At 62.4% G+C, this 15,665-nt stretch overlaps 1 protein-coding gene across 1 annotated transcript in view, besides 4 other annotated features; it reads right to left on the bottom strand.

The window, feature by feature from the left end:
- Positions 1–15,665, bottom strand: part of RXRA (retinoid X receptor alpha) — a 114,131-nt gene that overhangs the window by 75,959 nt on the left and 22,507 nt on the right. The window lies entirely within an intron of this gene.
- Positions 11,576–12,360: an enhancer, noted in NCBI's record as "H3K4me1 hESC enhancer chr9:137244113-137244897 (GRCh37/hg19 assembly coordinates)". NCBI's record gives its function as "activates a minimal SCP1, AML or CMV promoter by ChIP-STARR-seq in primed H9 embryonic stem cells {active_cell/tissue: H9 hESC(primed)}" and the evidence as "EXISTENCE:reporter gene assay evidence [ECO:0000049][PMID:30033119]".
- Positions 12,361–13,147: an enhancer, noted in NCBI's record as "H3K4me1 hESC enhancer chr9:137243326-137244112 (GRCh37/hg19 assembly coordinates)". NCBI's record gives its function as "activates a minimal SCP1, AML or CMV promoter by ChIP-STARR-seq in naive and primed H9 embryonic stem cells {active_cell/tissue: H9 hESC(naive and primed)}" and the evidence as "EXISTENCE:reporter gene assay evidence [ECO:0000049][PMID:30033119]".
- Positions 13,148–13,933: an enhancer, noted in NCBI's record as "H3K27ac-H3K4me1 hESC enhancer chr9:137242540-137243325 (GRCh37/hg19 assembly coordinates)". NCBI's record gives its function as "activates a minimal SCP1, AML or CMV promoter by ChIP-STARR-seq in primed H9 embryonic stem cells {active_cell/tissue: H9 hESC(primed)}" and the evidence as "EXISTENCE:reporter gene assay evidence [ECO:0000049][PMID:30033119]".
- Positions 13,934–14,720: an enhancer, noted in NCBI's record as "H3K27ac-H3K4me1 hESC enhancer chr9:137241753-137242539 (GRCh37/hg19 assembly coordinates)". NCBI's record gives its function as "activates a minimal SCP1, AML or CMV promoter by ChIP-STARR-seq in primed H9 embryonic stem cells {active_cell/tissue: H9 hESC(primed)}" and the evidence as "EXISTENCE:reporter gene assay evidence [ECO:0000049][PMID:30033119]".

Raw genomic sequence — 15,665 nt, 5'->3', positions numbered from 1 at the left:
GCAGGAAGTGGCCCAGAGGGTCTGCAGGGGCCAAGGCCAGAAGGGCAGGTGAGGCCCCACCAGAACCATGCCCCGGCCTGTCTGGGCCTCAGTTTCCCACAGATGCAAGCTGCCCTCTGGTGGCTGCTGGGAGCATCCAAACACAGAGCCCATGACAGCCGGACCCCCACACAAAGGCTGCTGTTGACATTGTTCCCAAAGACACCGACCCTAGGCCCTTCCTGGAGTCGGCATCTGAGGGTCAGCTGCCCATCAATGCTGGGGTGGAGGCCATTTAATATGCCAGGGCTTGGAGCCCCCTGAAGCCACCAGTGCCCTGGTGCCCACGCAGTGGGCGTTTGCCAGACCTCCCTCCCACCCCAGCACAAGCTCCCACCGCACGGCTTTTGCACCTCATCCCTGATGCCTGGACCTTACACGTGACGCTGTGGACCTCACCCCACTGAGTGGGAAGTGTCTTCAGGCGGCTGGAGATTTGGGGGGAAAAGAAATGGGCAACATCACGGTTGTGGAGGAGTCTGGAAACATGGGCTGAAGGAGGGGCAGCTGGGAGAGGAGAAACCTGGTGCAGACCCGGTATGCCCACCATGGAAACATGGGCTGAAGGAGGGGCAACTGGGAGAGGAGAAGCCCGGCACGGACCCAGTATGCCCACCACAAGGCTCTTGGCACAACCCTTTCTCTTCTTCTTTTTTCTGGCTGTACAGTTTTTAGGGGAGGCTTTTCCCCAAAAAATGCCAAACCCGGGGGAGATGGTGACATGTCTGGAGCTGAGGTCGGGATGAGGAGACCCACGTCACGCCTCCGGCCCCGGGATCCCCATGCTCAGGTCGCACCTCCGGCCCTGGGGTCCCCATGCTCAGGGCGGCCTGGGCCTCCCACAAGGCTGTCCCAAGGACTGGGAGACGCACTGGCCAGCACAGGCAGTGCTCAGGCAGACAGCAGCCAAACCGTGCCAGCCACACCCGGTGCCGCACAGGTGCGGCACAGTGCCCGTCCTGCCCAAAGCTGCCGTTGCCAACCCTGCTCACCTGCACCCCTTGGGGCCTCCCTGGAGGGCAGTGTAGGCCCATCCCAGAAACAGGACAGAAGCAAACTGCCCCACAGACACACTGCCCTGCAGAGGAGGGGCACGGTACCCAGGAGCCTGGGCTTGTGGTGCCACACCAGGCCCATGAGGGCTGGGCTTTAGATGAGAAACCAGAGAGGTATGAAATTAGCTGACTCCCTAAACGGATGCCTTCCCACCTCCCGCTGCTCAGGAAAATGGGGTGGGTGGACAGGGCCCACCGCCAGGCTCCCTGAGTGAGGGGACACCTCTGAGGCCCGACGGCCCTGCCACATGCTGGACTGGGAGAGGACAGAGCAACGAGGCCCCCACCCCCTCGCCCGTGGCCATGACTTGGGTTACTTCCATCACTAATGACGACTCCCAAAAGGTCCCCATGGGGAGAACGTGGCATCCAACAGGCACAGGGCACATGGCACAGGGAGAACATGGCACCCAACAGCCCCCGGGGAAAGTGAACTTACTGAACTTGGTGCCCTAGGCTCACTTCCTAGCTTCTGTCTGGGAGAAGGGGCAAGAGAAAGGGGTCCTGTTTTGCAACCGTCCACACTCTCCCCAAATTAACAAGAGCAAGGATTTGCCCAGACCCAGAGCTCAGGTCTCCAAATGGAGCCGAGGTGGCTGCTGACAGCGGGCACATCAGGCTGGGGACAACGCTGTGGGAGTGAGGCTGGTGCAGACCCGGGCATGGGGGCACACACAGGCAGGATCCCCGTCCAAGTGGGCCCCCTCCTCTAAGCGCCACCAGCCAAGTGTTCACTCCAGCTGGGAGCTGACCGGGACCACATGAGGGGCCGACAGAAAGTGGGGCGGGCAGAGCTGGGTACACTCGTGGGGGCCTTGCTGGGCCTCACCAGCTAAGACGGCAGTGTGTGTCTGTAGGTGTGAAGGAATCCACGACTTAACCGTCAGCCCCGTGCCCAGCCCATGCCCAGCTCCCAGGAGTAGGCTCTGCTCCCTGGAACACCATCATTTATTCACTCCATGAAACCCATGAAGGCCTGTGCCATGCCAGCACCATGCTGTGACCACGAGGCAGACTCGGCTCCTGCCCCCTTGAAGCTCACGGTCTGGCGGGAGCTGGGGAAGCCAAACCTTGGACAAGCCGCTGGAAACACAGTTTGTGGCATGAATGGAGAAACGCGGGCTGCAGAGTGTCTGCAGGGGCACCCAGCGAGGCGGGCCTAAGAGATGCCCCTGCCACCCCAGGGAGAGATGGGACTTGGGGGATGAGCAAGAGTCTTCGAAGGAGGGGCGACCAGGCAGGGAGGGGGTTCAGGGTCAAGGCTTGCTGGGAGCTACCCCAGGGGCACAGGGGAGCCACTGAGGGCTCTAGGCAGAGGCTGCCATGAGCAGCGGCCACGCACTGGGCCCTGGACAAGTGCCGCTCACTCCTCTGAGCCCATCCCCTCCCAACCCGCACAGAAGGCCCAGGGCGGGCAGAGCCAGCAGGCAGTCCAGGGAGAGCACAGAGGCACAGAGGGCAGTGCCAAGCCAGGGGGCAGCTCCAGGCTGGGAGACAGATTGGGGCTCCTCCCACCAATGGCAGCCCTGCCAAGCCCAGCAGGAGGGGAGGACCGGAGCCCGGCGGCATCAGAAACCCAGCGCAGCCGGAGCTATGTGCACACCCTGGCCCCCCAGGGCATGAACACACTGCTGTCCCCATTCTACAGATGGGGACCCTGAGGACCAGCACTGAAACCCCTACCTGGGTCAGACCAGAAGGAGACCCACCGTGCTCAGGCCCTGAGCCCCTGTTCCGGAACATTCTGCCTCCCCCAGTCACACAGGCAGGTGGCAGGCAGTCCTGGAAGCCACAGGCCTGCTCCCAAACACGGAAGCTCAGAGTCCCTCCGATGTTAATCAGAGCCATTAGGTGCTTGTTCGGCAATTAGGAGACACAAATTACAGTATGAAAAAGCTCATTACCAGCAAATGACGGGCGACGGCCACTGACGGTGTGGAAGGCCCTGATGAATCACGCACGTTGGAGGCATTTAGTCTCAGGAGACGCAACACCTCAGTGCCCATGGCCTCATCTGTCACCCGCACCTTCCCACCACCACCATCCCTGTCCCAGCCACCCAGCCGGGAGACAAAGAGAAACGACAGGGTCGGCACCAGGTAGGCAAGGCAGACCCTTGGAAGGGGCCTCCCCACAGGAGATGCCCAGGGGCCGGGCACACAGCAGGCCCTCAGTACAGAACGGCTTGGGGGCTCAGGGGAGGGCCTGGGAGGAGGCATGGCAGGCAGGGCTGTGCTTCCTGGGAGGCCTCAGTTTACCCCTCAGTGAAATGAGGACATTGAAAAGGGTCTCCAGGTTCCCTCCCAGCTCCGAGACCCAGTGCCCAACCGGAAAAGGTTCCAGAATCAGTTAGCTGAGGGAATTAGCAAAATGATCACGGCATTAATTGGATGAGTCAGATGGCAGGGCACGTGCGCCAGTCCAGTCTGACAGCGAAGGGCCAGCTCCTGCCCATCAGATAAGATGCCTGGCAGGGCCGGGGTGAGGCAGCACTCGCCACATCCGGGCTCCGAGGTGGGCAGCACACCAAAAGCTCTCCAGGCCTCCTGGATTACTGAACCCCAAGCCAGGGGAAAAGACAGGAGTCACCCGCAATTCTGAGGGCCAACGGAACCCTCGCCCTGCATCGGGCTCAGAGCCCCTGCAGGGAGCCCAGGGCTCTAGCATCCCCCCAGCAGGCTTCTCCACTACCCACTGGCAGGCCTCGGGGTCCCCAGCTTCAGCCTGCCTGGGGGCAGTCCCTCAATCCAATGAGTCCCAGGAATTGTAAGGGGGCTCTTTATTCCAGGAGATTCTAGCCAGAACTCCTCTCTCTGTGGTCCCAGGTCCTGGATTCACCCCCAATACACGAAGGCCCTGTGGCCACCATGTCCCCCATGCAACGCCAGGCTGAGCAGCCAAAGGGCGCCACTTTCAAAAGAGCCTCCCGCAGACCAGCAAGCGGCAGGTAACCGCGAGCGACCTGCACACAAGTGCGCCGGAAGGGGCGCTGGCACGGCGGGCACTGGCTGCCCACACTGTCTCCTGATACCAGTCCTTCAGAAAGGGAAACGGAGGCTGCAGGCGGCGGGACCAGGGGAAGGATGGGCCTCGCCTGCAGCCACAACAGAGCCAGAGCTCGAACCCAGAACTCCAGGCGTCGGCAAGCCCAGGCCTGGGCACGGCAGGCTCCCGTGACCAGCGGGGTGGAAATGGAGAAGGAACCAGCGCTTCCTGCTCGCTCTGCCCTGCCGCCCGACAGGCCAGTCCGCAGCCTGTCACCGGCTCAGGCAGTGCAGCCTCCAGGGAAGGCAGACACCCAGCCCAGTGCCCCCCACCGAGGCTACTGAGGACAGGTGGCAGCTTCCAGGCCCTGCCCAGGGATCCTGGCCCACCCCAGGCAGGACAGAGCAATCGCGGGGGCCTTAGGTAAAGCCCTGGGGCCCCTCAGCGGCCTCGAAAGCATGGTGGCATCTGTGCCGGGTGGGCCCACTGGGCACGCCACACCTCCACCCTCCGGTTACCGCTCCATTCCCCGCCCGGTCCTACACACCCCTAGCCCAGGGACCCCCGCGGCTCCAGAAGCTTCCCTGTTCCTAGGTGGGGCAAGGAAAGGCCTCTGCTGCCAGGGCCCCATCCCCTCACAGGCCAGGCCCACCCAGAGCCACCAGGCTGCCCAGCATGGCAGGACAATCTCGGGAGCAAAGCCCCTGGGGGAAACGGGCTGGGACCAGGGCCCAGAGCCTACCCAGGACCTTCCAGGACAGACAGGCCACATCCTTGCTGGGAGGGGCGGGGCTGCGTGTCACCTCCCCACCCCGCCAGGGCCACACGTGGCTCCAGGGCCACGCTTCCCCTGCCCTCAGCCTGTGTGTGCTATTTATCCAGCAGAGGGAGGGAGGGAGGGAAAACAATGCAGGTGGCTGATCCGCAGGGGGTAGGTCACACCCCTCCCCGGAGGTCAAGGTAGCCCCTTCCAGCCCTCCCCAGGCGGGCACCCTCACCCTCCAAGCAGGCAAAGCCACAGTGCCCCAGGAATAATGCGATGACTTATGGAATTGATGTTCACACCGAGGTGAGGGCGCACCCGGTGGAGAGGATGAGGAAGGGTGGGAGGCACGAGGCAGAATGGAGCCTGGGAAGGGAGGGGAGGTGGGCTGGGGCACACCTGCAGCCATTAATTAGCTCGTTATTGCCAGATAATTATCTCCGGGGCCTCCAAAGCTTTCGAAGCCCACTTCAGAGCCGCCGGCGGCAGCAGCACACCCATCTCACAGCCAACGCCTGAGGACCCCAAAGGCAGGTGGCCCTGGCTCTGCCTCAATTTCCCCAGCTATTCAGTGGAGTGAGTGTTCTTTATATCTCACTCTCCGTGCCCTCAGATGTGAGCAGGGGACCCCAAAAGCAGGAAGAACACCTCTGCCTTCCTCAATTTTATAGACAGCAGGTCTGGAAGCTTCCTCCGCCCCTGGCTACACCCTGGCCTTCCTCTCGGCCTCTCCCACACGGCAGCCCCCAGCAGCTGTTCCATGAATGCTCCCTGGACCCTGTTGAGCCTTCCAGAACTGGGCATGGGGTAGGAGTGGGCGCAACGCTTAATGAAAATCCCCTGCCACGTGGGGCTGTTGGCCCCAGAGCTCCGCCTGCCCTTCCCCTGAGCCCAGCAGCAGGCCCCGGGGACTCCTGGCCCTCTGCCCACAGCCCTCACCACCCACATGAGCAAGCAGCACTTACATAGGCCAGGCTCAGACCTGCCAACGTTCCCAAAGCCAGCACACCCCATTGAGACCCCAGCCGGGGCCCAGGCCTGCCCTGGAAACTGCTTGTCTCAGGCAGGGTCCAGGGGCTCTGCCCAGTCCTGCAGACGACCAGGGAGGGGCGGGGAGGGGAGGGCAGGGCCTAGGGCAGTGCTGCTGGGCTGGAACAGCATCCAAACAGGAGCCTGGAAAGCAGGTCCCAGACCTCTGGGGAAGTCTCTGGAACAAGACCTTGTCAGTTCCTGGGTGGCACCCACAGGGCCAAGTCCAGACCCTGCACAAGGCCTCTGAGGACTGCACAGGCTCAGCTACTGACCTCCCCATTACAGGCCCCGGAACTCTCCCAGCTCTGGGCCTTTGCATATGCTGTTCCCCATATGTTCCCTGTTACCTCCCCCAGGAAGCCCTCCCTCCAGCTCCACCCTACCCAGGCTGAGGGAGGCCTGTTGGCCCTGAGCTGTGGCTCCTGCCTGCCTGCCTGCCTGCCTGCTGCCGGAGGAAAGTGGATGGTGGCGGCCTAACAGGACTGGTGCCCATCTCCTGGCTCGTGAGCCAGAGCCCTCCAGCAAGGGCCCAAGGACTGTGCAGGCAGAACTCGGTGTTTCCACTCTGTCCTGCACGGGCTCACGCCTGGCTCCGTCCTCGGCAGGTGGCCGGGGCCTGGGTGGCACACCCAGCAGCAGCCCTCTTGGAAGCGGCCCACGGCCTCCCGTGGAGATGGTGCTGCAGGAGCCAGCCCTCGGGCCAGCGAGCAGCAGGGATGTCGGGGAGCACAGTGGGTACGCCTCTCATCCCATGTCCCCGTGTTCTGTGGGGGCACCCCAGGCCCCAGGCGGGATGCTGCCCTCCTCCTCCTCCTCCTCCTCTGCTGTGGCTCCTCCCCTTGCCCACAGGGTCCGCTGTAGACTGCCCCCATGGCCTCACCCTAGGATCAGACAGTGTGAAGGTTGCCAGGGAAAAACCAATAAACAAACTTATGAAGAAACCGTGATTTACACATAATTTTCTAAGAACACGTAATTTCCCGGGTGCTCTGCCCCGAGGGTGGCCAATTCTGCTTACCTCTGGTGCATGTTTGTGTTCTGGAAGGTTCTGGGTAACATATCTGACTGGTTAAGCAGGGCATTCCCTAGCAAAGACCTCGCCTTTCTGCTTGGGACTGCACAAACCACAGCCGAACCCTTGGCCTCGAACCCAGGGCCAAGGCTCTCTGAGGGGCTGACTCAGGTCTGGGGGTCTCCCACCCTCCACCCACGACTCCCCCACTGTGCTCGTGGCGTGGACAGTCCTCGTAGACATACGGACCTCACCAACTCCACATCCCCCAACCCCCTGCACAGGCGAGAAATCTGAGGCCCACAAAGCGCCTGACTTCACGCGGCTACAGCAGAGGGGCCAAGGTGCGAATCAGCTCTGTGCAATCCCCTGCCCCTGGCCCTGAAAGTCCCCTTTTCCCAGTAACCTGCAGGGAGCCCAGGTGAGGATGCGGGAGGCTGCAGCCCGCTCAGCAGCGAACTCTGGCCAGGTTTCTGCTCCGGGCTCTGGAGAAGGGCCCTCCACCCGGGGCAGGAGCCAAACCTGTCCAACCGCCCTAGACGCCTCAGTGCCTGGGCAACTATCTGCTCCATCGAATTTCTCAACCCACTCAGAGCAGGCAATTGCAACAGGCTGCGGAGACACAGATAAGGAGATTCAGGGTGTGGGCTGGGTGGGTTTGGGGGTGGATTTTTTTCTTTTCTTTTGTTCTGCTTCTGCCCTGGCTATGCCTTCACGCCTCCCCGGCTCTGCCTGGGGGCCTCTGAGCTTCCTGGGGGTGCCCAGCACTGGGCATGGGCATGGGCCTTGGGCCACCTCCAGGGCTGCTGAGGCTGGGAGACAGGCAGGGTGCGGAGGTGTCGGGAGACACTTTCTACCAGGGCCATCGAGGGTGGTGGCTGAGCAGGGCCTCAGGCAGGGTGAGGCTGGGGCAGGGCAGGGGCCCCCACCTGGGAAAACCACCCTTTCCCAACACTTTGAGGCACAGGTGCCACCAGAGAAGCTTGTCACCTTCCCCTCCATAGCAGGACAACGGTGAGAACACTCGTCCTCCCCTGCAGGCAGCCAAGGATGGCTAATCCAAGAGCCGCTGAGCAGGACGGCCACCGCAGTGCTAGCATACAGTAGGTGCTCAGTGCACCGGGCCATCTCTTGGTGATAAGACACACTTCTGGGCAAGGCACGGACCTTCTCCAGCCACGGACCTTCCCCAGCCTCCTGTGTCAGCAGGAAGGGCCTCCATCCCGCAGACCGTGCTGCTCTATATACCCCGAAAGCCCTGGTGGGCATTGCAGGAGCACAGGCAGCAACTCCTGGCTCCCCGGCCCGGCCAGCATGCAATCCCCAGCCCAAGGCCATCCCAGGTGTGTTCCCGGTGGGAGCTAAACAATGGCTCCCCCTTACCAAAATCCAAGGTAGAAACTCTTCCCCGCTTTTTACCAATGAGGAGAGCAAGGCTGAGGTTGATGAGGTGACCTACCCAAGGCCCCAGAACTCCCCCAGGGAGAGTCACCTACGAGAGCCTGACACAGTTCCCCTCCCTTGCAGGGCTGGGGCAAGGAAGCCAGGTGAGGGTGAGGCAGCTTCCCCAAAGGCCCCACCCTGCTCCACCTGGCAGGGGCAGGAGGGAAGGACATGCCAGCAGAGTCCATGCTTTTCCAGGTCACCAGGGAAAGGAGGCCTGGCCTGAGACAGGCCCAAGCCAGATCCCACAGTGAGGGCGTCGTGGAAGCACCTCCCTGCCGCTACTCTTGGCAGTCTGGGCCCAGCGGCCATCCCGAGGGCAGGGAGCTGCCCCCCACCCCCTCAGCTGCCCTCCCCCAGGGCTTGTCTGACACCTGGGCGCAGACCCTGACCTCCTCAAAGCCTCTGACCCACTGAGAGGGTACCTGCGGAGCTTTCCGAAAAATGCAGACTCCAGGGCAGGGTGAGCCCAGGGCCCTGGGAGGAATTCTCCTGCACAGCTGCAGGTTGCACAACGGGCCAGGTCCCTACCTGCCTCCAACGTGTGGCAAGGCTGCGTTCCAAGCTGAACACTCCAGAGGAGCAGGCCCAGGACCTCCCCCACCCAGCGGGGGTGCACACAGCTCCCCGGCCTCTGGGTCCTCAGCCTGGCTGCAGAGGGCAGCTTTGAAAACCTGTCTGTGGACAGTGGTGCCCCTCCCTGCCGGACTCTACTGCCCCACCCCTCCACTGTAATTCTGAGCCACTGCCTCTCCCTCCCAACCCACCCTGAGAAGTGAAGCCCAGGCAAGGAAAAAGTAACCAAAAATAACAACTAGCAGTTCCCGGCGCTGACTGAGCTGCAGGTGAGCTCTGTCAGCTTCATCTCTGTTCACCCTCCCAGCTTTTCGGAGACCAGCATATCAGGAAACTGAAGCTGGGAAGGAGTCGGGGGATCTGTCCAAGGGTCAGGCTGCTTTTTACTGTTTGCTGTTCAGTTAACAGTGCCTGGCCTGGCCGGGGAGCGCAAAGAGACACAGAGATGCCCATGCCGGGCCCAGGCACACTAGGTACTTCTCATACACCTGGCACCCACAGCACAGCTTCTGACAACTGGGCCTGCATTTCCCACAGGTGAGGACAAACGCCAGCAGAGATGTGCCTGCAGAGATGGGGTGGCCCAGCCCCAGCCCCACCTTGAACCCCAAAAGCCAACGTGGGCAGAATTGGAGCTGAGCCACCGCATCCCTGCAGGAGATGGGATGTATATGCCTCCTGGGATCATGGTCCTGACCACTTCTAGACCAGAGGCCCTGCTCATGCAGTCTCCCAGAGCCCCTCTGCTCCAGACACCCCAGAACTCCAGGACAGGCTCCCTGACTCCCAACCACGGCTTCCCAGTGGCTTCTCAGTCCCTCCATCCCTAAGCCAGCTCCACTGGCTCTTAGGGGACTGGGAGTGCACAGGCCTATGGGACGGGGAGAGGCAAATCCAGGACGAGGACAATTGCAGCCTGGGGAGCCTGGAGGGCCAAAGACAGCGGAGGCAGGTTTGGCCCAGATCTGAGACTTCGAGCAACAACACGGCCTCTGAACATTTCAGTCTTACAGCGAAGGCCAGTGCACAGCACAGCTGCAGGAGGAACCCTGGGAATGCCCGGCCCAGGCCATCTCCACCAGCAGGGCTCACCCTGGGGCACAACAGAATCACCAGGGAGCCCTGGTGCCCAGGCACCACCCCCACGGCTGCCGATCTGATGGGTCTGGGGTGTGGCCTGGGTACCAGGAATCTTAAAAGCTCCTCATCTTCAATAGTGCCTGATGGGCAGCCCAGGTGAGACCCACTAAGCCACGGCAGTGTGGGGCTGGCTCCAACCCGGGTGAGTTCATTCGTTCCACCACCACACACGCACCGACCACCTCCTCACGCCAACACTGTCCAAGGAGGGGGACCCAGAAGAGCCAGCAGTATGGGCAGAAAATTCTGCAGAAGTCACAGTGAAAACACACGCAGCTGCGGTACTAAGCTCCCGGTAGAAGGGAGACATTAGATTAGCCGCAGAGACCGCAGGGCCAGGATGGGAGCACTCGGCACGCAGAAGTGCCCCACAGCCCTCCTTGCAGACATCACCAATCCACCAACCCACCTTCCCTGCTGGTGCCTGCTGGGACCCAGGCACCCCATCCCATCCGTCAGAAGAGACACAAAGGCTGGAATGCACCTCTAGGCTTTCCCAGGCATGGACCTAAGTGTTATTTTATGGTGGCAACAGTGAAGTCTAGGCTCCGTCTTTGCCTCTGCCCCCTTTCCCCAGGAGCTTGTGGCCCCCTCCATCCGCAGTGAACAGCTACCAGGCACCCTTAGCTCTCATCCACCCACAGTCCCATCACCACCAGCCTTGGGGACACGTTCCCCAAATGCAGCCAGGCTGTCCGAGCTCACCGCCAGCAGGGCTCGTGGATGAGTACGGCTGCTGGAGTCCCACCAGATTCTCAGCCTGAAGTCAGGTACACACCCAACAGGCACGGCCCCAACGGGACATCCCAGGCCTGGAGGCCAACCAGGCCCATGGGTAGCATGAGGAGACAGCAGTTCCCTCTCCTGCCTGCCAGGGCCTGGCACCCCCACCCCAAGGGCACCTCTGCCCTGCCACCCTGGGGAAAGCAGGAGGAGGCAGAAAAGCTGCCAACGTCCTCCCCGCTAGCTGTGGGGAGAAGCAGTGTTGGAGGTACAGGGGCTCGTGGACTCGTGGGGCCGTGGAAGCTGCTGGGGCACCACTGGGCAATGAACACGCCTTTGAAAGTAAGTGACGGTTTGCTCAAAGTGAAGGATGCCTGTGGCCGGGCCACATGACGGGACACCAGCTTAATGTGCATACACGTGCGGTGTACATGCATGGGGCCGTGCACACACATGCACACATGTGCACTCACCACCTTCCCAGACCACCTGCCTTCCCACTCTCCAGTATGCTGGCCCAAGGCCTCCTACAACCATGGGCCATCAGAGATCCCACCTCTGCACACCAGGGATACCCCTGAGAAGGACTCCAGGAAATCCACCGAAGAAAACAAGCCCACCTCCTCCACAGCCGGGAGAGCTCAATTTGCTGTTTGCTCTTGTTTCAAAAGTAAAAGTTGGGATTCTTCCTCAAGCCCCAGAACCTCCCAGTTATGGGCCTGCCCCTCCCAGCCACACCAGCAGCCCCAGCCCCTCCTCCCCCCTCCAGAAGGGGACCCTGTACCTGGGGTGGCTCATCCCCCCAGCCTGCACCCCCAGAGGCCAGCCCAGAGAGCACAGGTGGTGGGAGGGTGTCAACAAACGTCACAGCCCCCAGCTGGCTTTCCAAGTGGGCACCAGAAGGCAGGGCCAAGTGTCCCCAAGGAGAGAAGAGCAGGCTGAGGACGTACTTCCTCACACCAAGGAAGCAGGAGAGAACTCCCATGTCTCCAGGGCTCCTGATTCCCTGCCAAAGAGAGACCCAAGAGCCCTGGATGTCCCCAAAGGGAGACCGCTCCAACCTCAAGCGAGACCCAACACAGCCCAGACAGGCATGCGAGCCGTCAGCTGTGGAGCCCGCCCCATGCTGGCCCCCACACTGCCCGCCCCAGATAGTCCCAGGCAAGCCCTGACCTCGTTTCCTTGGGGCAGCTGACCCTCTGTGTCAAGCCAGCACCCCGGGAGCTGCAGGGCTCAGCCAGGGTGCATCTTCAGTCCCACCAAAGGAAAGCGGGGCCAGCAGGAGGCTGGGTGGTCCGGACAGACGCCAGTTCCCACACAGTCTGCACACTGCCGGGTGACCACTGCTGCCCACTGCTGGGCAGGGGCGAGGCAGGGAGGGCAGGACAGCCCCACCAGGTCCTGTGCTGCCCACCTGGGGCCTAGAGCAGGGCCCCTGCTCAGAAGCAGGGAAGGATTGTGGCCCCTCCGGCTTCCTCATGCCCCAGACTCATCCAGGGTCCCCGAGGCAGCCCCTTCCCGTACTCACCCTTCAGACACCTGAGGGGATGGCCAGACACCACCTCCCTGCTCCCCTCCCCTCGCCCTCCAAGCACCTCCACAGGGTTTTCCAGGCACCCCAGGAGGCGCAGAGTCAGTCTGCCCCTTTCCTCATCTCATCAGGCACCATCAAACCCACAGGGGCTCCTGGGCCGCGCTGTCATCCTCATCCCATGCCCAGAACCCTCCCCTTGCTGCACCCCAGCCCGACTCTGCCTTCGACAGCCTCTGACTCCCGCAGCCTGTGCAGCCTCGCTCCCTCCCCGGGCTGCCCCGAGCCGCCCTCTGGCTCCAGCACCATGACCCATGCAGGCAAACTTGGTAGGACTCTCAACCTCAGCCCCCAGGCCCTTCTGGTCCCAACACACATATGCCACATGCACGCACACGTGCACACAGAACAGAGCACCCATCTGACCCAACACACACTGGCACACCCCACGCCCCGCCAGAGCCGCAGCTGCTGCGTGGCCTCCATAAATCTCTCCGAGGCCCCGCACACCCGCCTCTGATCAACCCAACTCCATGTCATTCACCTCGCGTTCTGATGGTTAAAAACAAGTTCGCAGCAGCGGATTGGTTATTACATCTCGGCCTTAATTAAAGAGGGCCGCAGAACGGCATTTTAACCAGCAATGTCATTTTCTAATTGACGCAGCTCCATTATCAAGAAAAATACTCAAACCGGCCTGAAACGGAGCCGGCACCCTCCTCCACCCTCCCGGGGGAGCAGGGAGGTTCAGCTTCAATTTTTAATCTGCTGATGAAATATTCACAGGCCAGGGAAGGGATTGCGTTTCCTGAGGTGAAGGATCCCTGCCCTATTGGGGCTCCCCACATGGGAAGACGCAGAGTTTAGGGTGCTGGGGTCAGGACTGTCTGGAGGAACAGAGCAATGCAGGCAGGGACTGGAGACCAGCCTGCCTCACAACCAGCCTGCCGGGCCCGGGACCACCACTTTGCCCTCCCCTCTGCCCGCTGCTGGCATAGGGCCCCTTTCGAGTGACCTCCCGACTGCCCCTTCTCTGAGGAGGACGCTGCAGCCCACAGGGCCAGGCACTCGCCCAAGGCCTCCTGTGATTTCCCGCCGGGCCTCCTAGCCCCAGACCTGCCACCTCTTCAGACTCTGCGGGCTCCAAGCCTGGCCTGTGTGGGAGAAGGGGGCCCCAACATTCTGATTTCCTAAGCAAAGCATTCAGAGGGCTCAGCCCCCTGCAGCCAGCGCTTCCTCACAATGCGGTGTTTGTACCTTGAGGCCACACGCACTTCCCATGAAGTCTGAGGCCGGTGCTCCATGTTATAGGAAAGGACACTTAGGCAGGTGAGGGATGCTCAGCCCCCCCTTGCTGAGGCACAGGGCCTCTTGTGGGTGCTGGACAGGTGGCCTCCACACCATCACACAGCCGAGGTGCTGACGTTGGCCCTGGGTACAGATGAGGACAAGGCGGCAGGGGAGGCACCATCCAGGCCAGGCCGGCCCCAGGCTCAGCCGCTCAGCCCCTCGAATGCATCTCCTCGTGCAGTGGGGACAGGTGGGGAGGAAAGCAGAGCCACTGGCCCAATCCCCACCCCCACCCACCTCGGCAGAAGGCATGAGAATGCCCCAGATGGAGCTGCTCCTGCGGGGGAGGCTGGCTTCTCCGTGGGGAAGGGCAGGGTGGAGCTGGGCCAGGGAGGCCCCACTGGGCAGTGCCTCAGGCTCCCCGTGTGGGTGAGCACAGCACAGGGCACAGCACAGAGGCCCACACAGTCCTCATGCGGCATCGTCTGGGGCCTGCTGTGCCCGAAGGAAGACACTAGCCGGAAACCACAGGCCTCCGAATGGAGCTGACCGCCCACGGGCAGCCCCTGGGGACCCCAGCCACCAGCACGCCACGCAGGTGGCTACTTCACAGCATGTCCAGCTCTGAGCCACCACCCAGGGGGCGAGGACAGCCATGCCCCTTACAGAAAAGGAAACTGAGGCTTGGAGGGGCAAAGGGCCTTCCAAGGCTGCAGCTGGCGAGGCGGGGGCCAGAGAGCGATGCCAGCACTGTGTTCAGGCCACTCCGCGGCCCCAGCCCCACTGGCTCTCTGGGGCCAGTTCCTCCCTCCCCCAGTGGTTTCCATACATCCTGCCCTGGGAGCCTGACACTGACCAGCTGCCCACTCGGCCCCAGACAGGCTGTTTAATCAAAGCATGCGATCGGCATGACATCTCCTGGCATCTCTGGGCAGCTGTACCCCCACCTTCCACCCCCCCCTACACACACACACAGCCATCTGGCGGGTCTGCTCTTCCTGACCATAGGCCAGCAAGTGCTCTGGAAAGAGGCATGAATCAGGGGTCCTGGGCTTGGGGAAGGGGTCCCAGCAGTGCCTGGGGACCTCCAGACACCAGCTGCAGCCAGGAGCTGACCCAAACAGGAGGAGAGGAAGGTGTCACAGGCAGGATGAGATCGTGCAAACTGTCCACCCGACTCCTACCACAGGAGAGCCTGCGGCACCCGCCCGCCCACCCGAGCTAGCCCAGCTCTGCCCCTCCTCCAAGCAGCCTTCCTGGGTGGACACCGCCAGGCTGGCCCAGCCCTGGGGAATCCTGTGCACAGCCCTGCGCCTCCAGGGAGACAGGCATTCAGCTTGAACTAAAGTCCCCAAACCTCATGAGACAAGTCAGCAGGCACACAGGTAACCTTGCCTGATGCGGGGTCTCCTGATGTCACCCACTCATGGGGGCCACCTGAGAACCCTGCCCCTGTCTGGCCCATGCTCGCCAAGTTGCTGGGTCCCTGTCCGTGCACACTCCTGCCCGCCACGAGCTTCAGGGCCGAGCCACCCCCGCAGCACCACTGCCAGGTGTGGCAGCTGAAGACCCCAGCCCACCTGAGCCAGCCTCTTCTCTTCCCCGACCCACCAGCCTGTCCCTCTCCTCCCTCCTGCTCCCCGTGGAGAGGCCTTCCCTCCCTGCCACCAAGCTCGGCGAAGCCCTCCACCAGGCCGAGGCGCCCCGGCCCAACAGGCCCACCAATGACACCCGGCTGTCCAGGTGCAGAACAGGGGTCAGCAGGGCTCCCCATGTGCCCAGCATGAGGAAGTGGGAGCTCGGGGCCAGGCTGGTGCAGGGAGTTGGGGTCTGCAGGCCCAGCCAGACCCTTCTTCTGCAAGACCCTCTGTGCAGGCCCTCATGAGGCAGGGCAGTGTTCAGGACCCCTCCTGGCCCTCGGTGAGTTCAGGGACAGCACAAGTCCCCTCCCGGGAAGCAGCGTACCCACCATGCATCACCAGCCTTCTCAGCGGGGACCAGCCCTTCACTGCAAGTGACAGAACTGGGTCTCGGATATGCCAGCCCCTCCCGAGTCTCAAGGCCCAGCTGGCGCAA

Source organism: Homo sapiens, chromosome 9 (assembly GCF_000001405.40).
Source record: "Homo sapiens chromosome 9, GRCh38.p14 Primary Assembly".
In the NCBI taxonomy this organism is placed as follows: domain Eukaryota; kingdom Metazoa; phylum Chordata; class Mammalia; order Primates; family Hominidae; genus Homo; species Homo sapiens.
This window is presented reverse-complemented; position numbering and strand designations above follow the sequence as displayed.